This window comes from Homo sapiens, chromosome 3, assembly GCF_000001405.40.
Source record: "Homo sapiens chromosome 3, GRCh38.p14 Primary Assembly".
Classification (NCBI taxonomy): domain Eukaryota; kingdom Metazoa; phylum Chordata; class Mammalia; order Primates; family Hominidae; genus Homo; species Homo sapiens.
The window spans coordinates 193,458,390-193,479,518 of NC_000003.12; the positions used below are offsets into that span (position 1 = coordinate 193,458,390).

At 39.2% G+C, this 21,129-nt stretch overlaps 1 protein-coding gene across 4 annotated transcripts in view; it reads right to left on the bottom strand.

Moving 5' to 3' along the window:
• Positions 1-21,129, bottom strand: part of ATP13A4 (ATPase 13A4) — a 194,153-nt gene that overhangs the window by 59,423 nt on the left and 113,601 nt on the right. For all 4 annotated transcript variants that reach the window (XR_007095757.1, XM_047449063.1, NM_032279.4 and 1 more), the window contains 6 exons: positions 12,470-12,604; positions 8,927-9,097; positions 7,636-7,793; positions 6,551-6,739; positions 4,373-4,434; positions 692-842 (listed from right to left, as the gene is read on the bottom strand). Coding sequence is in view for 3 of the 4 variants with exons in the window: in XM_047449063.1 (XP_047305019.1) it covers positions 692-842; positions 4,373-4,434; positions 6,551-6,739; positions 7,636-7,793; positions 8,927-9,097; positions 12,470-12,604 (866 nt within the window). In the remaining variant the exon portion in view is untranslated. The remainder of the gene's footprint in view (positions 1-691; positions 843-4,372; positions 4,435-6,550; positions 6,740-7,635; positions 7,794-8,926; positions 9,098-12,469; positions 12,605-21,129) is intronic.

The following is a 21,129-nucleotide window of genomic DNA, read 5'->3' on the forward strand; positions in this document are numbered from 1 at the left end:
TTTGTGTTATGTGAACACCACTGGTCTAATTCAACTTCATTTTATGGTCATGAGAGCCAAAGCCCCAACATGAGAGATAGCTTAATGGGATTCAGCAGTCAGTTAGAGCAGAGACAAAACTAGAATCGGAAAAGCCAGATTCCTGAACGACACTGTTGGCTCTTAAATCTAGTTTAGAGTCTCAACAAAAGCTCTTTAGTGGTTTTCCTTTTTGTTCTTTCTAGTCTTGGAAATAAAATCAATATGAAATTAATAGAAATAAGACTTATAGTCCCCGTGAATCTATGAGTTATCCTGAGCACTGGAGAAAGCAATGTTTTCTGATCCCCATATTCTGGAAAATCTTCGAAACCAGACAATGCTCGGAGAACAGTACAGAGAGACAAGAAATAACTGCATAATAAGTACAATTATATTAATATGATCGAACCTTTAATATTTGCCAGGCATAGTGCCAAGGATTTTCTTACTGCATCATCTCATTTAATCCTCACAATCTCATTATGTAGATGCTATTATTAGCTTCATTGCACAGATGAGGAAACCAGCCTTAGATTGGTTTGCCCTTCACTACCAAATGTACTCCACATTGGAAACCTCACCTTTTATAAGAATTAGATAGCTCTGATATTGCCTATGTTGCTCTGGCATTGAAGAAGCTTCTCAGATTCTCTGAAGAGCAGAGGCTTACCCAGGTGGTGGCTTCAAACATTTTGAGGTCCAGAGGGTCTCCCTGGATGGTCCCATCAAGAAGGATCAGAGAGTGGCAGCTGGCCATCGCTGCACACAGTGGGCCCCATGGCAAAGCCTGGCCTGAGGCAAAGCTGTGAACTTCCTGAAAGCTTAAGGAGAAAAGGAAATGGGTTTCCATTCCATCGCCTCATGCCAAAACAGAGCATCTTGGAGGTGAACAAACATCTTTATAAAAAAATAATTTAATATGCTTTGTTGCATTAATAGCCACTCTCCAATCCTCCCACATTAATAGTGCTTCATTCAGCCAAGTAAGTTCACTGAGTATGAGAAAGGTCTCTGAGTTTTTTCTTTTTCTTTTGGATACAGGGTCTCACTCTATCACTCTGTCACCCAGGCTGGAGGAGGACAGTGGCGTGATCTCGATTCATTGCAACCTCTGCCTCCCAGGTTCTAGCGATTCTCCTGCCTCAGCCTCCTGAATAGCTGGAATTACAGGCAGCCACCACCATGTCAGGCTAATTTTTTGTATTTTTAGCAAGGATGGGGTTTCACCATGTTGGCCAGGCTGGTCTTGAACTCCCAACCTCAGCTAACCCACCTGCGTCGGCCTCCCAAAATGGTGGGATTACAGGCGTGAGCCACTGTGCCCGGCTAAAAACATTTTTCAAATGAACACTGCATCCCCCTCTTCCACCCTGGCCTCTTGTGTCCATATCCCAACCATTATCCCCATCATCTCATTTTAGATAAGAACATAGTCTCATCTAAAAAGCTATTAAAATACAACTCAAATGTCATATGCAGGCTTCCTTCACTAATTCAGAGTGGAGGCCATTAAGTTCAGCTTTGGCGTCACAAGAAGAATGTTGTCTGCAGCTTGGTTAGTCACAGCCCCTTCTCAAATGTGCAGCACAGGCGTTGGTTCTCAAAGCAGCTTACCCTATTAGGAGGACGTTTGAACGGTGGAAGCTTCATCCTACATTGGGGCAGAATCTGCTCCTGGGAGCCAGTAAGGGTCCACTTGCTCCCCCTCCTCCACATGCCAACTTCTTTCAAACTTAGGGATCAACTCTGCCGTCCCCTTCACCCTCTCTCCCTCTGGTGTCGCACAGGAACCTCCGGCTGTTCCTCTAATAACAGCTTGATCAGGCCTCCCTCTCACCTTCCTTATTCTTCTTTTTTGGAAAAGTTCCTAAATTTGTCATTGTCTGATCCTGGAGACCACATTTCAAGACAGACAATTACTTCTGATAATATGGACCCTGAATTTATTTAAAGATAACCTTAAGTTGCTGTAGCCCTTTGTTTTGAAAGCAAACACATCTCAGTGTTAACTCACAATTCAGCCACATGGCTTCCTGGCTTTTGCATTCAAGCTTCCTTTTGTCACACTAAGAGTTCAAAAATGTCCTGGCTTCATATTGACCCTGTTAGTTATACTTATTACTATGTCTTAAAAGAGCAGCTCATCTTGGTGGTTTACCACATACCCAATGGTATTTTAGTAAATATCTAAAAGGAAGAGACCACCAGCAGGACAGTTAACACAGAAACTTAAACGCACACTGAAAAGCAAAATACAGATCAGAAAAAAAATCTTATTTTTACTATGAGACGTACACTGTCACTAGTCCGTAATTCTGAGTGTATAATTCTGCATTCGAGAGGATTGGGCCAGACTCTGTTTAGCACAGCAAATACATAAAGCTCTCTATCATTCCTGTCCACCCATTTTTATCTGAGTATTTCTGGTTATCAATCCCTGATAGCCTTTAATAGTTCTTAAAGTATCTGACACAACAATCAGGGCTTTTTGGAAAGGAAGAAATATCAGAGATGAGCTCACCTTTAACAAGAAGGTATTGAATAGTCTATAAGTCAGGTGCTCACTTCTTACCTAGAATTAATTCTGTTTTGTTTCATTTTATTAATTAAATTTGTCATTTTTTATTTTAAATTGTTTTAATCATTGGAATTCAACTTTGATTGGAAGGCAGGAAGGCAGCAAGGCAGGAAGGAAGGAAGGAAGGAAGGGAGGGAAATGAATCATTTACCTAAACATTATATTAATTGTTATTCCTTAAATGTAACAAGTCACTTTTAGAAACAAAGTTTCCAAAGTTTTATGAATAGTTTGGTGTCAATGGAATAAGAAGAACATTCAAAAGACAGAACATATTGAGTTCATTTTAGATGAGCGATTACTGTGCACCTACTATTTGTGCCTAGTACAGAGCTACAGCACTTAGGATGCAAATCTAAATAAGAACAAGACTGCTCTCAAGATGCTCACATATTTGAACAAATGTACACATATTTTGCAGAAGCTGAAACAGAAAAACACTAATGAACCATGAGACAAAGTATATATCCAAATCTATCTTCTAGGAAAAATGAAAGAACTTTAGAGTTTAACACTTTCAGAGGCCTCTTCTGTACACTAAAGTGGTTAGAAGCACGAGGATCACTTTTTTAATCCAGGAATTAGACTTGTTTCTAGATAGCATTTTAATATGACAATTATTAAACTATGTGTAATTAACATTTTATGGATAAATTACATGTCATAATGCAAAAGAACCACAAAGAACCTTTCATGTACAAAATGCTTTGTGATTTAAGTTATAAGTGTTAGAGGAAAAAACTTTCATTTTCAAACAAAACATAAACGTCAAGTGCATCAGAGATTTCATGTTCTGATTCCACGGGAGTTCGTAGTGAGTTGAAAAAGCGGGCAGAGACGCAAACTCAAACATGGCCACAAGAGGGCCACAGGAGAGGACTGTGCAAATCTTTACCACACCATGCTGAGAACTGTCAAAACCGTCTTTTCTTGCTAGGAAAAAGGAGTTTCAGCCAAGTGCAGTGGCTGATGCCTGTAATCCCAACACTTCAGGAGGCCGAGGTGGACGGATCACCTGAGGTCAGGAGTTTGAGACCAGCCTGGCCAACATGGTGAAACCCCGTCCCTACTAAAAATACAAAAATTAGCCAGGCATGGTGGCAGGCACCTGTAATCTCAGCTACTCGGGAGGCTGAGGCAGGAGAATCGCTTGAACCCAGGAGGCGGAGGTTGCAATGCACCAAGATCATGCCACTGCACTCCAGCCTGGGCGACAAGAGTGAAACTCCGTCTCAAAAAAAAAAAAAAAAGAAAAAAGAGAGTTTCCAGCAGCCAGAAAGTAGAGTTCTCAAAATTTGAATACCAAGAAACATGAGTACACTAGCTACGGTTCTACAAATGTTCCTCTTCCTGAAATTCAGGGTACAAAAGTAAGAGCAGTGTCCTTCCTCCTAGCACATCAAGAGGCTTCAGCTTGAACAAAGAATGTTACCTCCTTAAAGGACAGTGTCCTGGTAATGTCTAAATTACTTATACTGCGTCAACTTCATGCTGGAAGCAAATTATATTTTAGCAAGGATTTGAATGCAGTGTCAAAGCTTCATCTCCAGGATTTGTGAGTGGCATGGGACTGGGTTGGGATGGGGGGAAATGTGTGTGTTTTAGGGAGGCTTTGAAGAATTAAAGATGAGAAGTTAAAAGAAGATACTTTGGCAATCATTGTCCACCAAAGCCAAAGTCCAAATGTCTCCATTCTTAATTTCAAGAGAAAACACGGAATTTTGGAAAAAGAGACACTAGAATGCATTTAGTCCAAGAGTCCAAGGTACTCACCCATTCCTATCACAGGACACGACTCCCCAGAGGTCCAAGCCGTCCCTTGTTAAGGTGCCTGTCTAAACAGAAACAAATGCTCCATTTACTCTGAAGATCCAGGCAAGGAGCGGTGGCTCATGCCTGTAATCCCAGCACTACGGGAGGCGGAGGCAAGAGGATCACTTGAACTCAGGAGTTTAAGACCAGCCTGGGCAACATAATGAAACCACCTCCCTATTTTAAAAAAAAAAAAATCCAGTGGCCCCATAGCGAAGACTCCGTAGTGCAGATAAATAAGGTATTTTTGTAATGAGAAAATACTTCACAAACATATTAACAAGATCAGCACTTCAAGGAGGGGCACAATGGGTGGGTCTCTGGAGTGCCCGTTGGAAGCGTTGATGAGCTCATGCCAGTTGTCTAACAAGCTGGCACTTAATCTTTTCAAACTTTAGTGTCCTCCATAACAACAACAAAAAAAGTATCTTCCTCACAACTTCAGAGGATTGTTTTGAGGATCTAATGGTAGACTGAATGGATGTGAAAGTCCTCGATATAAAATGGGTGAGTCCTAGTTTCATAGCAGAAGTTTAAAATATGTCATTAAAATAAGGAATAGAGTGAAATTTTTACCTGCAGGGCACTGTGAACAGACTCGAAAGAAATGGTTTGCTATTTGGTAAAAAAAAAAAAAAAAAAAAAAAAGGTGGTGGTATTTCTCTCAGTGCAATATTATGGTTAAGAATTCAGGTTAGGTTTAAACACCAGTTGTGTGACCAGAGCAAATTAATCCCCCTAAATATAAGAGCTCTTATCTGTAACATGGTCATAATCTCAGAGAGCTGTGGTGAAGATTAAATGGGATAACATAAAGTGTTTCATTTAATATCTAGCATACAGTAAAAGCTAATAATAATCATAATTATTCATAATTATTGCTCATTTTTTATACAAATTGAGGTCACAATTATCTCTCCCACTCCTGTTTCTTTTTCCAGGTCCGAGGATATAATCTCATAAATAGAATGTCATTTCTTACATTGCTAGTTTGATCACAAAATAATATACAAAATGGTGGCAAGAGTCATGTTGACTTTCTGTTCTTGGTAGATCTTTCTGATATTCCAATAACTATAAAATACAGCCCTGATCCCATTAATTCTCAACTATCAAAACCTTCAGTGTACTGTTGAATGAATATAGCTTCAGTTTGGGAAAATAAAAGAAGTTCTCAAAATGAATAGTAGTGATGGTTGCAGAACAGTGAGAAGGCACTTAATGCCAGTGAACAGTACACTTAAAAATGGCTAAAATAGTAAATTTTATGTTATGTGTATTTTACCACATTTAAAAAGTAAATTAAAGAAAGAAGTCAACAACAGCAACAAAAGCCTTCAAATAACCCTCCACTGCTTAAAATATATGTAAACAATTTCTTAGCCACACATTCAAGGTCCACAGATAGCTTCTCCCATTACCAACATCCTGCTCTAGTCAAAACCACACTCTCTTGCTTTCCTGCCTCCAGGCCTCTACCCATGCTCACCTGTTCACAATGCCCTGAAAGGCATTTCCATCTTATTCTCTCACAACTCCCACCTTCACCCCAGCATATGTGTGTACAGACTAAATAAATACAATAAAAAGACGGTAGAATACGAGGCTGGTTGGGAATAACTGGCAAATAATCAAGGGTAATTTTAAGCAATAAAGTACAGATGGGAAAATACAGCAAAAGCTTGATATGAGTATCATAGTAAGGCACAGTTTAATAAACTCTTCCTTTTTTATTTGTTCATTAATTCAATCGATATTTATTGCACACTAACTATATGCCAGGCAATATTCTCAGCATCAAGGATACAGCAGTGACGATAGCAAAGGGTTTAAATTTTCGTCTTTGTATGAAGGTTTTGACTGCAGAGAAACAGGATGCTACTTTAATTGCTTTTCATAGGATATCAAAGCTGGAAGGACCCAAAAAGATTCTCCTATTTAGTACCCACTTCTCCTCTAAACCTTGGACTCTGCGAGCTCAAGAGACATATCTTTCCCAGATCATGCATCTAACCAGGGATAAAATGAAGACAGGCACCCACATTCTATGTCTCCTGCCTTGCAAGGGGGTAAAAGTAGATATACATGATGACAGCAATGGTAAAAATGATGATAAGAATAAGGATGAAACACACATACCTTGTCAAAGCAGACAAGGTTTAACTGTCCACATACGTTGATCCTCTGGGGGCTAATGCAGAAGATGCCTCTCTTCTTCAGCCTCCTCTGGGCATAGATAATGCCTGTGGTCAGAGCAGCAGGTAGAGCCGGAGGAACCGCAATTGTGATGACGTCAAGGGCTTTCCTCACCACCTCCTCTGGAGGTTCCTGGACGACAGTCATTCTTTAATTATTACAGACAAATCTCTGATGAACAGCATATGACTCTTTGCCTTTTTTTTTTGAGGCGGAGTTTTGCTCTTGTCGCCCAGGCTGGAATACAGTGGTGTGATCTCAGCTCATTGCAACCTCCACCTCCCGGGTTCAAGCGATTGTCCTGCCTCAGCCTCCTGAGTAGCTGGGATTACAGGCACACGCCACCACACCTGGCTAATTTTTGTATTTTTAGTAGAGACGGGGTTTTGCCATGTTGGCCAGGCTGGTCTTGAACTCCTGACTTCAGGTGATCCACCTGCCTTGGCCTCCCAAAGTGCTGAGATTACAGGCATAAGCCACCTTGCCCGGCCTTCCTTCTTTTTGTTTACTTCTTTAGGTCAAATTTCAAGAAATGATATCAGTGGGTTAAAGGCATGACCATGTTTATAGCTCTCACTATCTTTCACCAAATAGCAATAAAAAACCCATGTGATTTATATTGTTACCAGCAAAACAATAACGTACTAGTCTGCCATGACCTCACCAAAACTGGGTGTCTGATTTTATTTAAAATCCCTTGCTCAATAGCTCTAAATATGCTACTTTATTGAAAGAAATATATTCTCAGATTGAAAAGAAAAAATGGTATAAAGTGTGAGGAAAAGAGAAGTACACTGATATATCAATAAACAGATTGTTTTATCCCATTATCCCATGAAACCTGTTTGTTATTATGGAACTTAGTGATCAATTGCTGACTGGGATCTGGAAGTCTATACGTAGGCATCAGTGCTTGGTTTTGTTTCCCAGGTTTGTAAACCACATCCTAGGTTAAGGCCAACATGCACAGTACAAAATATACAGAGATGAGTGTGTGTGCATTTAATAAAAGAGCAAAGACAGCTTACCCCACTAAGCACATAGACACACAGAGTATAGATCATCCCAATGGTGGCTGTTCCTACAAGGCACAGGAGGAACCTGATGGCATCCCTGTACAACTGAAAATTCACTGGCTTAGGGTAGAGAATGGATCTCACAAGGTCTCCCTTTGCAGTGTTGAATCCTGGAACAACAAACACACACCCCACACTCTCAGGAGACCAACGCTACTGCTAGCTCTTCCAAACCTCAACACTGCCTTTGTTTTTCTCTGCTGATATTTGAACAGTGTTTAAGCTCAAAGGCAATTGAAAGATAACTAGAAAAATACATAAATGCTGGAACGGAAATCTCTATCTCAGAGCCCAGTACTCTCTCTGGCCTTCCTTCCCTCTACTTCCAATTTCAATGCATCCTGGAGATAGAAAACCGCCGTACTGGGTGCACAGCACAGCTTTGCCAAATAGCATTTTATTTTAAGAAAATGACTCAAACGTGTGCACGCACACACATGTCACTGAATTGAAATTAAGTGGTCCAGTAAATACTGATGGACTCACTTTTCTAATACTTTGCAATGTTAAATTTTCAGTTTCTAGCCCACCCTGGAAAGAACTTGGGATTCAGGATGAGACCTGAGTTCTAGGTCCAGCTCTGTCAATTGCTGGCCATGGTATTTTTTTAAGTTCATTTGAATTGTGTGGCCTCAGCCTATTCATGGACATAGCAGAAACAGTAAGCATCTCTGCTCTGCTTGTTTGATATTGTGAAAATAGTTTATATACTGCAAAGGCACATACATAATAATTATTGTTATCAGTACTATCATTTTTACTAACAGGCATATGCCATAGTTCAATTGGTATTTAAAATATATGGATTTATATATATATGATGTGTTTTGTACCTGTAGGTAAGACTTCTCCTTGTCTATGGGTCCAAAAAAAAATGGAAAGAATGAATAAGATCTACTATTTGATAGTACAAAGGGTGACTATAGTCAATAATAACTTAATTATATATTTTTAAATAACTTAAAATGCATAATTGGATTGTTTGTAACTCAAAGGACAACTGCTTGAGGGAATAGATACCCCCTTCTCCATGATGTGCTTATTTCACATGGCAGGCCTGTGTCAAAACATCTCAGGTATCCCATAAGTATATACACAGCTACTATATACCCACAAAAATTAAAAATTAAAAAAATATGATTATAAAGAAAAAACAGCTTCTCTTTACCTAATAAATTTAAGGCACTAGACAAACTGGGCAAAAGTATACCATTAAAAATAAGAAAAAGGAGGGGATGCTAACCAGTCTGCAGTACCACGGCTCTCACGGTCCCAGAGCAAGCTGCCTTGGCCTGGATAACCTCTGTTCCACAGAAGAGGACATGCCGCTTGTAATCCGCTTCACTCTGTGTTTTCCAGGGCACAGAGCTATCCATCTTGGGTAACGGAGTTTTGGTGACTGGAATACTTTCTCCTACAGAAAACAAGCATCTTGTTTTGTGAGGCAGGATGGCTTCCCTCATTTAAATCATGCCTGCACCCACTCATCATACAACAGACATTTTTTTTGTGAGCCTACCATGTGGCAGAGACAACCCTAGGTATTGGGGATACAAGCATAAACATAGTTCTTACTTCTAAGAGGTCTGTAGTTTAGAATAGGAGACAGATATGTAAACTGATAAGTATAATACAGTATTATAAATACTGTGGGTACTGTAAATCAAACACAGATGTCAAGATAGCTGGAAATAACTATTTAGGGAACCACAGGCTGTGCAGTCAAGAATGTGGAGTGTGGAGAATAAAGGGCCGTGAGAGCTATCTAGGAGCCAAAGCATGGAGAACCCTAACTGTCCACAGATATGTCTAAAGGCACTGGTGGGCTGGGCACAGTGGCTCATGCCTGTAATCCCAGTACTTTGGGAGGCCGAGGTAGGCAGATCACCTGAGGTCAGGAGTTCGAGACCAGCCTGACCGACATGGAGAAACCCCAGTTTTGTAAAAATACAAAAAATCAGCCAGGTGTGGTGGCACATGCCTGTGATCCCAGCTACTCGGGAGGCTGAGGCAGGAGACTCGCTTGAACCCAGGAGGCAGAGGTTGTGGTGAGCCAAGATTGTGCCATTGCACTCCAGCCTGGGCAACAAGAGTGAAACTCCATCTCAAAAATAAATAAATAAATAATAAATAAATAAAGGCACTGGTGACTGAAGGAGGATGTAGAGAGATTTAACCACTTTAATCAGGAGAGTAATATCATATTTATGTATAAGAGAGAGCACTCTGTCCATAGCACAGGGAATGAATCAAAGTCTGGTGAGGTTGGAGGCTGGGCTGGGTATCCAATTGGGAAATAATCACAGGAATCCCAGTTGCAAGGGATGAGGTCTGAACTATAACAGCTGGCAGTGGGGATAGAAAGGAAGCACTGCATTCAGGAAACAAGGAAGTGGCCGGGTGTAGTGGCTCACGCCTTTAATCCTAGCACTTTGGGAGGCAGAGACAGGCAGATCGCTTGAGCCAGGAGTTCAAGACCAGCCTGGGCAACATGGTAAAACCCTGTCTTTTCTAAAAATACAAAATCAGCCGGGTGTGGTGGTGCATGCCTATAATCCCAGCTACTCTGGAGGCTGAAGCACGAGAATCACTTGAGCCTGGCAGGTGGAGGTGAAAGTGAGCAGAGATCACACCACTGCACAGCAGCCTGGACAATAGAGTGACACTCTGTCTCAAAAAAGGAAAGAAACAAGGAAGTAAGAAGCTACAAAACTTGAGAAAATGTTTGTATTGGCAGGTCATAGGGACAGAGAAATTTACAATGACTTTCTAGTTCTGACTTGGGAGAATATGCAGAAGGCAACATTATTCCTCAACACAGGGATTACAGGAGGAGAGAAAGAATTGTCTTTTGGCCACTGTAAGTTGAAGTTGCCTTGTAGAAATACCATGTTGAGAAGCCTTGTAGGCAGTTTGAGATTTATTTGGATTTGAAGCTCAGATGAGAGGCCTGGACGAGAGATATTTAGCCAGAGCTCATGAGGTTATGGATGATAATTAAAGTCACAGAAGCAGACAAGATTACTTAGAGACCAAGTATAGAGTGAGAAGAGGAAAGGCCAAGGATGTAGCCATGAGCAGCACCAACAATTCAGGAGATGGAGGAAGAGGAGCAGCAGAAGAAACTGAATGGGTATAGTCAGTGGTAGAAGAATTTGGAGAGAGAGAATTATCTTAGAAAGTTATAGAGAAGATAGTTTTCAGAAAGAGAGCTGGTCAGAATAGTCAAATGGAACAGACAGGACAATAAGTTGAGAAATTTAAAGAATCAGGCTGGGCACAGTGGCTCATGCCTGTAATGTCAGCACTTTGGGAGGCCCAGGAGGGTGGATCACTTGAGGTCAGGGGTTCAAGACCAGCCTGGCCAACATCGTGAAACGCCACCTCTACTAAAAATACAAAAATTAGCCAGGCATGGTGGTGCACACCTGTAATTCCAGCTACTTGATGGAGGCCTAGATGAGATGATTGCTTGAACCCGGGAGGCAGAGATTGCAGTGAGCCAAGATCAAGCTACTGCACTTCAACCTGCGTGACAGAGTGAGTGAGACTATGTCTCAAAAATAAAGAAATTTAAAGAGTCCACTGCGTTTGGCAATTGGGACTTTGGCAACTTTTACCAGTGCAGTGGGAGGGGACTATTGCAGAGGCTTGAAGTGCTAATACAAGGTAATGAATGAAGCCATGAAATAACTGTGGCCTGTTCTGAGGAACAAGTTTCTAAAGTCTTTTGATGGTCTCTGCAGAGTGGTCAATAGAAAGTCGGAGTTGCATTACAGTATATTAAGGCTACTTTCATTAGGAAAATGGTACTTGGCACTGCAGAAGTCCCAGCATTACAGGATTTTTATGAATCTATGGGATTTTGAGGGAAAAGAACCTGCTTTGCCATGGTCTGCGACACATCTATTCTTTGTAAGCTAACATAGGAAGAAGGTGTGTACACTTGTCTCCATTACCTGTCTTTCTGGGCTGCCTGAGAGAAATGGATTTGATCTGAACTTGAATGGGAACCATGATACACCAATAAGAGTGCGTTCACAGCCTCTCATTTTATCTCTGAGAAACATTTTATGATTCTTCTTTATCTTACAGCAATGTCAGCCAAACATCTCATCATTATGCCACGTGAGTGAGAAATCAAGGCAGTGTAACCTTAAGCAAGTCACCTCTCTGGACCTCAGTTGCCATGCCTATGATATGAGATAACCTCACAGGTCCCACCCAGCTCCAGCACTGCCATTTGAAAATGAACTACAGTTAGTCCATAACACCCAGTTTTGGACTGGAAGCAGCAGCTTTACCAAATGCTGCATCATGAATTTCTTAACATTTTCAAGCCAGGCCAGGAAGAATTTGGATGACCCCTGTGGGTTTCAGGATGTCACTGATGATTTTCAAACCCTCCAAGTTTATTTAAAAACATGCTTTATTTAAAATAAATAAACATAAAAGTCACAGACAATTCTGAAAGATCTAATGATCTCTACAATCTTTTAAGGTAAATGAGAGGGTTGTAATAATCTTTTGTTCAAGAAAGAAATACTAAACACTCAAAAACTTATTATTGTATCAAACTTAACACATAGAAAGAGCTTTAATTTGAACCCTCAGATCCATTCGCAGCAGGACTAAGTAAGATTTGTGGCAACGGGAAGGTCCCATAGCAGCCAGTGCTTTACAGCCAGCCACTGTCATTCAGGTAGAGGAGGAGGCGTAGGGACCATAGCAGCGTGGAGTGTGGGCCAGCCCACAGAGGTTGTCAGCTGTGGAGATGGAACTGTACCTGTCAGCATGCCTTCATCCACCACACAGCTGCCTTCAATCAGAACGGCATCACATGGCATTAGCACTTTGTTCCCTGTCAAAATTAATAAATCTCCAGGCACCAGGACGCGTGATTCCAGCTCTTGAACTCCAGCTGAAAGTGGGAGGAGACAGAGTTGAGTCAGGTTATTTTCCCACAAAAATACAATCCAACATCTATTTAACTTGGATATCAATGAAAAAGCAACCAAGACATTTTTTTTTTAGAAAGGAGAACATTCCTCAACATTGATTCAAAATTTGAAAACAAAAAGAAAAAAATGTAACAAATTAGACTACATAAAATAAAAATCTTTGTGTGGCAAAGTAATAAGAAAAAAATAATGACAAATTCAGAAGCAAATTTGAAACTTACATTACAGATAAAAGGTTAATATTCCCAGCTGAGCACAGTGGCTCATGCCTGTAATCCCAGCACTTTTGGAGCCCAATGCGGGAGAATCACTTGAGCCTAGCTGTTTGAGACCAACCTGGACAATATAGCGGGAGCCCTATCTATCTTCACCAAAAAATAAAAAATAAAAAAATTAGCCAGGCATGGTGACACACACCTGTACTCCCAGCTACTTGGGAGGTTGAGGTGGGAACATTGCTTAAATTTAAGCTCAGGAGGTCGAGACTGTAGTGAGTGATGATCGTGCCACTGCACTCCAGCCTGGGTGACAGGGCAAGATCCTGCCTCAAAAAAAAAAAAATCCTAATAGATAAAGAGTTCCTTTTAAAAACAGATCTCCAGCAAATAACTGTATAGCAAAATTGCTAGATATTGTCACTTCACACACACACACACACACAAACACAAACACAAGTGGTGTGTTAAGTGTCTGCAAAGCTGTTCATTCTTACCCATGATAAGAGAAATGAAAGTTCTTCCCTGCTTCCTGATTGCCTGCCTGCCTGCCTTTACTTCTTTTCTTCCTTATTCAGTCTTAAAGCTATTAGGGCCTGTGCAAGATAGGCATTCCTGCAGGGGGCTGGGTGGGGTGGCAGGCTGCTCTGGGGTATTGGATCCTAAGCAGGATGGAAGGGTGTTTACATGACCTGGTATAGGGTGTCAGAGCTTGAGCAAGGACAGAAGGGCCCCCATGGTGGCAGTGGCCCGCTGTGGGATGTTGGGACCCGAGCAAGGTGAAAAGGGTGTCTACATAGGAGTGGGATGAGGGGCAGTGGGAGCATCAGCGGTGATGAAAGATTGGTTGCATCCAGGCAGAAATGGTACAATAAGTACAGTAGTCTCCTTTGATCTCCAGTTGAACTTTCCATGGTTTCGGTTACCTGCAGTCAACTGCAGTCAGAAAACATTAAGTGGACAATCCCAGAAATAAACAATGTATAAGTTTTCCAACTGTGCACCATTCTGAGTAGTGATTAAATCTAGGGCTATGCGCTCCATCCCACCTGGAACAGAATCCATGCTTTATACACTCCCTGCTTGTCAGTCACCTGGGTAGTACCTTGCCTGTTGCAGTACCCCTGTGCTTGTTTCAGGTTACCCTCATTTTACTACTTGTGCCCCAAAGCACAAGAGTAGTAATGCTCGCAATTCAGTTATATCAAAGAGAAGCAGCAAAGTGCTTCCTTTAAGTGAAAAGGTGAACGTTCTCGACTTAAAGAAAACAAAACTGTATGCTGAGGTTGCTAAGATCTATAGTAAGAACGAATCAACTATCTGTGAAGTTGTGAAGAAGGAAAAAGAAATTTGTGTTAGTTGTGCGTCGCACCTCAAACTGCAAACGTTACAACCACAGTGTGTAAGTGCTTAGATAACATGGTAAAGGCATTAAATGTGTGGGTGGAAGACAGGAACAGAAACGTGTTCCAAATGACGGTGATCAGACTCAGTACTACCCATGGTTTCAGGCATCTACCTGGGGTCTTGGAATGTACCTCCCGCAGATAAGAGGGGACTCCTGTAGATAAAATGACGTTAATCAGCCAGGTTTCTCACTGAAGAAAGGAAGTTACAAATAGAGAAAGAGATACAACTACAATAAACCCTGTGATAGTAGATTCCAATGAAAAATATCAATGTACTAGATAGAGAGAAACAATATAGATGTAAGTATGTGTGATTATAAGAATATATAAACATGTTTGCTAGTCTTCTTGTTTATACACCAATAGTAATGAGCACATCCAGTGCCCAAAGTTTGGTTTCTAAATTCCCTTTCTCCCAATAAAAAGGTTTCCTTAGAGAGAGGACTGAGTACAGGCTGCGCCAAGAAAAGTATAATATAAGCTAGAACATCTTCTTGTGCCATTAAGTAAAGAAATGCTCAAAGAATGTTGGGGACATATTACAAAAATATCAAAGCCAACTTTAAAGGGCTCTCACTGCCTAAATCTGTAACAATTTGAACATCAAAGTAAATAATGATAAGAAAGAACTATAACCATCAAATAAAATAAGGATTTATGAGTCCATAATGACTTCAGTAAATGAATAAATAAATAAGGAGAAGAGACAGGTTTTCCTTGCAGCAAAATGGCAACTAATTAATGTAGAAGGAGAGATAACATTAGAAAAGTCATCATTTGGCAACTATCAAAGTAATAATTAATTTGGCCAAGAAACATCAATGTATACTAAAACTAGTGGGTGAAAAATTGATGAAGATGGTTTATTTATATCATCTCAAAGTATCTCTCAACAAAATAACCATTAATTACAAAGAGGAAAATAATAAATTTGCAATGGAGAAACCTGGCAGATACCATTTAATTAAGTAATATAAGTTAACATCACCAGTAATAGGACAAATTGAAATTATGTACCATCTGAGAGGAAGCAGTGAAAACACAGCATCATGTTGTGATATTCCAGCCAAAAATGCATAACCTGAATTTAACCATGAGGCAACATCAGAAAATTCAAACTGAAGGACATTCTATAAAATAACCAGAGTCAGAAGAGTCAAAGTCACAGAATTCAACTAAAAATTGAAGATTAAAGAGACATGGCAAACAAGAGCATTGTGTAATTCTGTATCTCTTTTCTATTAGAACATTATTGAGACAACTGGCAAAACACGAACGAGGTCTGACCATTAGTTGGGAGAAATGCATCAATATTAACTTCCTGGTTGCACAGTCCTTCATGTAGGAAAATGTCTTTGTCTTTCAGAAATACACAGTAGAGGCCAGGCGCGGTGGCTCACACCTGTAATCCTAGCACTTTGGGAGGACGAGGCGGGTGGATCATGAGGTCTGGAGTTTGAGACCATCCTGGTCAACATGATGAAACCCCGTCTCTACTAAAAATACAAAAAATGAGCTGGGCATGGTGGCACGTGCCTGTAGTCCCAGCTACTCGGGAGGCTGAGGCAGGAGAACTGCTTGAACCCAGGAAGCAGAGGTTGCAGTGAGCCCAGATCGCACCACTGCACTGCACTCCAGCCTGGTGACAGAGCGAGACTCCGTCTCAAAAAAAAAAAAAAAAAAAAAAAAACAAACAAAAAAGAAAAGAAATACACAGTAGACCCCATCTGTACAAAAAATACAAAAATTAGCCAGGCATGGTGGCGCACACTGGAAGCTGAGGTAGGAGGATTACTTGGGACCAGGAGGTCGAGGCTGCAGTGAGCTATGACTGCACCATTGCACTCCAGTTGGGCAACAGTGCAAGTCCCTGTCAAGACAGAGAGAGAGAGAGAAGAAAAAAGAGAGAGAGAAAGAAGGAAAGAAAGAAGGAAAGAAAGGAAGAAAGGAAGGAAGAAAGGAAGGAGAGAGAGACGAGAAAGAAAGAAAGGAAGAAAGAAAGAAAGAAAGAAAAAGAAAGAAAAAAGAAAGAAAAAGAAAAAAGGAAGGAAGGAAAGAGAGAGAGAAAGAAAGAGAAAGAAAGAAAGAAAGGAAAAAGAAAGAAAGAGAAAGAAAGAAAGAAACAGAGAAAAGGAGTACATGAAAGGATGTGCGGGTCATGATCATGGAGCTACATGTCGGCAACTTATTCTCAAGAAGTTCTAGAAAAAAAGTTATTTAAACTATTCTTACAACTTTTTTGTAAGTTTTAAATTACTTTCTAAAAAAGAGAGTGAGACATATGTATGAGATAACATTGCTCACCTTATGATTAGAAAAATGTGCAAAATTTCCAGCGCATTCTATTGTCAAGGCTGCGAGGAATCAGTCACTGACACATTTCTGGTGCAAATGTAAACTGGCACAATCTTTATGGAGAGAAATTTTGGCAATATTTTTCTAGCAAAAGTACATAAGCACTTATTTCTTAACCTAGCAATTTTACTTCTCAGAATCTGTGCCGAAGATATACTGGCAAAAATATGAAAAGACATATGTACAAAGCTTTTTATTACAGCACTATTTGTAGTAGTAAAAAACTGAGAAATGTTTTTTCAATAGAGGATTGACTGAATAAACAATGGCTCCTCCACACAAGAGAGTACCATGCAGCTGAAATAATGAATGAAGAATATCTGTATATACTAAATGGTCCCTGGGAAACATAGTTACGTATGTAAAATATACGCAGCAGGAAATACAGTTAAATACGTTTGATATACCTCTATTCATCTAGAAAACAGCAGTATTAATATATATTGTATTTTGTATATGTAATATATAGCTATGAATATTATATATAATCTGTTTATATTTTTAAATGTAAGAATAAATAAAAACCAAAGTGATGATTATAGAGAGAATGAAGACATAAGTCAGAAAGGAGAGGAATAGGAACCAGACTCCCTGGAATGTCTTCTGTCTTACAGATTTGACTTTCAAACCATGTAGATATTTTCTATATCTATACAAAATAATACAAATATAAGTTTGAAAAGCTAACACTAAAATCTAAAGCAAAAGGAGCAAAATAAACCTATCAAGTTGCTGGCATAACCAACAGAAAACTATTTTGAGTGACTTTAATGAACAATGTATAATTTGACTGTACATTTCTAATGGGATGTTACAAACAGGAAAAAAAGAATTCTAAAACCATCTTAAATTGTTTTTAGGAATTACATTAATGCTGAGTGCATTAGTTTGTCACTCTGAGGTTATTATATACAATGGGATAAAGCAAAAGAGTAATCTCTTCCTGTCATTGAGAACCAGAACTTTGGGTATAGAGAAAAGAGAAACACAAGTACAATGAATAAAGTAAAGTAAAAAGCCCATAGTGCTAAACTTGAATTGGAAATTATAAGGTCAGTATAACTATGAATTCTAAACTTGAATTGGAAGTTATGAGGTCAGTATGACCTCATAATGCATTTTATCTTAAAAAGTTATTTCCTAAGTATGTTTTCTAAAAAGACCTAGAAACAATGACTAACACCATTAAAATGAGTACTTGCAACATTCTTATTGAGGTTTATAAGCACTGTATCTGGTACTGCTACTTCCCCGTCCATTTTTATGTATGGAGATGGCTTCTTTCTTTAAACCTCATAAGCCAAACTCTGCTAGCTTCAGACTTTTCTTCTGTAGTTTTCTTACCTCTCTCAGCCTTCGTAGAATTAAAGAGTTAGGGCCTGACTCTGGATTGGGCTTTGCCTTACAGAAATATGACTGGTTTGAGCTTCTATTCAGACCACTACAACTTTCTCCGCATCCACAGTAATGTTGCTTCGCTTTTGATCATTTGTGTGTTCACTTCTGGAGAAGCGCTTTTAATTTCCTTCAAAAACTTTTCCTTTGCATTCACAACCTGGCTAACTGGTGCAAGAGTCCCAGCTTTCAGTGTATCTCAGCTTTCAACATGTCTTCCTCACTAAGCTTAATCATTTCTAGCTTTACTTGAAAATCAGAAACATGTAACTCTTCCTTTTGCTAGAACACTTAGAAACCAGGGTAGGGTTATTTATTGATCTAATTTTAATACTGTTGGGTCACAGGGAGTAGGGAGGCCTGAGGAAAGAGAGAGAGAGAGACAGGAATGGCCAGTTGGTGAACATCTGACACCGATTAAGTTTGCTATCTTACATGAGCATGGTTCATAGTGCCCCAAAACAATTATCATAGTAATATCAAATATCACTGATCACAGATTGCCTTAACAGATATAATCACAACGAAAAAGTCTTAAGTATTTCCAGAGTTATCAACACGTGACACAGAGATATGAAGACAGCACACGCTTTTAGAAAAATGGCACGGATAGACTTGCTCAATGTAGGACTGTCAGAAATCTTCAGTTGGAAAAAAAAATGCAGTATCTTTGAAGCACAATAAAGCAAGGGGCAATAAAACAAAGCGTGCTTGCATATGTATCATAAGTATGTCTACACAGTACTTGATTCTATTGAGGAAATTTGAACATTGCCTGTATAACTATTTTAAAATTATGAGGTTTTAAAAGATGTGACAAAGGAATTAAAAAGACTCTTTATATTTTAGAGCTATATGCTGAAATATTTTCAAATAAAATATAATATCTGGGATAGTTCTAAAATAATCTAGGGTGGAGAGTTAATAGAACAGATGAAAAAAGATTCATTAAGTTGATAATTATTTAATCTGTGTGATAGGTACGTGAGGATTTATTACAGTATTCTCTCTACAGTTGTATATGTTCAAAGTGTTTTATCATAAAAAATATGGACAAAAAATGACCAATTATATTTTTAAAAGGTAAAAATTCACTTCCAACCAAGAGAGAATAAAAAGGATGAGAATTATCTTCCCACTGGAAACAACCATATAAAATATATGAAACAATGGGTTATAGACACTGAACATCAAACAACGAAAGAGATGGGAAACAAATAAAGGTGTTCTACATTTGCCACGCTTACTGTCTTTAAAGAGTTTCCAAGCCACTATGCAGAGAAGGGAAACCAGACCAAGTCCAGATGACTACTGAGTTCAGAACACAAAGATGAGCATCGATGGAGATCTTGGCAGCTTGAGTTCATAGAGCAGAGTGCTGGGGAGGTAACTGTCCAGGGGAGAGCCACGAAGATCTGCCGAGGGTCTCTCCTTAGTGTGAAGCAAACTACTGATCAGCATGTTTCCATGATGGAACTACTAGCAAATGAACAACTGAACATTTACATTTTAAAATATCATTTACAATAGCATCAAAAATATGAATTACTTAAAAATAAATCAGAAAAAATGTGTAAGACCCACACACTGAAAACTGCAAAACACTGCCAAAGAAATAAAAAACCTAAACAAACGAAGCAGTGTTATATTCATAGAGAGAAAGATTGAAATATGTTACTAAGTCAATTTTCCATAAATGTATCTATAGGTTCAACACAATACCAATAAAAATCCCAACTTTTTTATGCCTACATCAAAAAGTCTGGTAGAGCACAAATAGACAATCTCAGGTTACACCTCAAGGAACTAGAGAAACAAGAATAAACCATACCCAAACCCAGCAGAAGAAAATAAATAACCAAGATCAGAGCAGAACTAAATGAAATTGAAACAAAAAAAAAGCCCACAAAAGATAAATTAAACAAAAAGCTGGTTCTTTGAAAAGATAAATAAAATTGATGGACCATTAGTGAGATTAACCAAGAAAAGAAGACAGAAGATCCAAATAAGCTCAATTAGAAACAAAATGGGAGATATTACAACTGATAACACAGAAACACAAAAGATCATTCAAGGATACTATGAACACCTATATGCAAATAAACTAGAAAATCTAGAGGAGATGGATAAATTCCTGGAAATATACAACCCTCCTAGGCTAAACCAGGAAAAATGTGAACAGACCAATAACAAGCAGCAAGATTAAAATGGTATTTAAAAAGTTACCAAGAAAAAAAAAGTCCAGGACCAGATGGATTCACAGCTGAATTCCATCAGACATTCAAAGAAAAATTGGTATCAATTCTATTGACACTATTCCACAGGATAGAGAAAGAGGAAATCCTCCCTAAATCATTTTTTGAAGCCAGTATCACCCTAATACCAAAACCAGGGAACGACATAACAAAAAAAGAAAACCACAGACCAATGTCCCTGATGAACATAGATGCAAAAATCCTCAACAAAATACTAGCTAACTGAATCCAGCAGCATATCAAAAAGATAATCCACCATGATCAAGTGGGTTTCATACCAAGAATGCAGGGATGATTTAACATCCACAAGTCAATAAATGTGATACACCACATAAAGAAAATTGAAAACAAAATCACATGATTATCTCAATAGATGCATAAAAAGCATTTGACAAAATCCAGCATCCCTTTATTATTAAAACCCTCAGCAAAATTGGCATAGAAGGGACACACCTTAAGGTAATAAAAGCCACCTATGACAAATCCACAGCTAACATTATACTGAATGGGGAAAAGTTGAAAGCATTTCCCCTGAGAACTGGAATGAGACAAGGATGCCCACATTCACCACTTCTATTCAACATAATATTGGAAGTTCTAGCCAGGACAATCAGACAAGAGAAGGAAATAAAGGGCATCCAAATCAGTAAAGAGGAAGTCAAACTGTTGCTGTTCATCGATGATATGATAGTATACCAAGAAAACCCTAAAGGCTCATCCAAAAAGCTCCTAGAACTGGTTAATGAATTCAGCAAAGTTTCAGGATACAAAATTAATGTATACAAATCACTAGTTCTGCTAGACACCAACAGTGACCAAGCTGAGAAAAAAGTCAAGAACGCAACCTCTTTTCTAA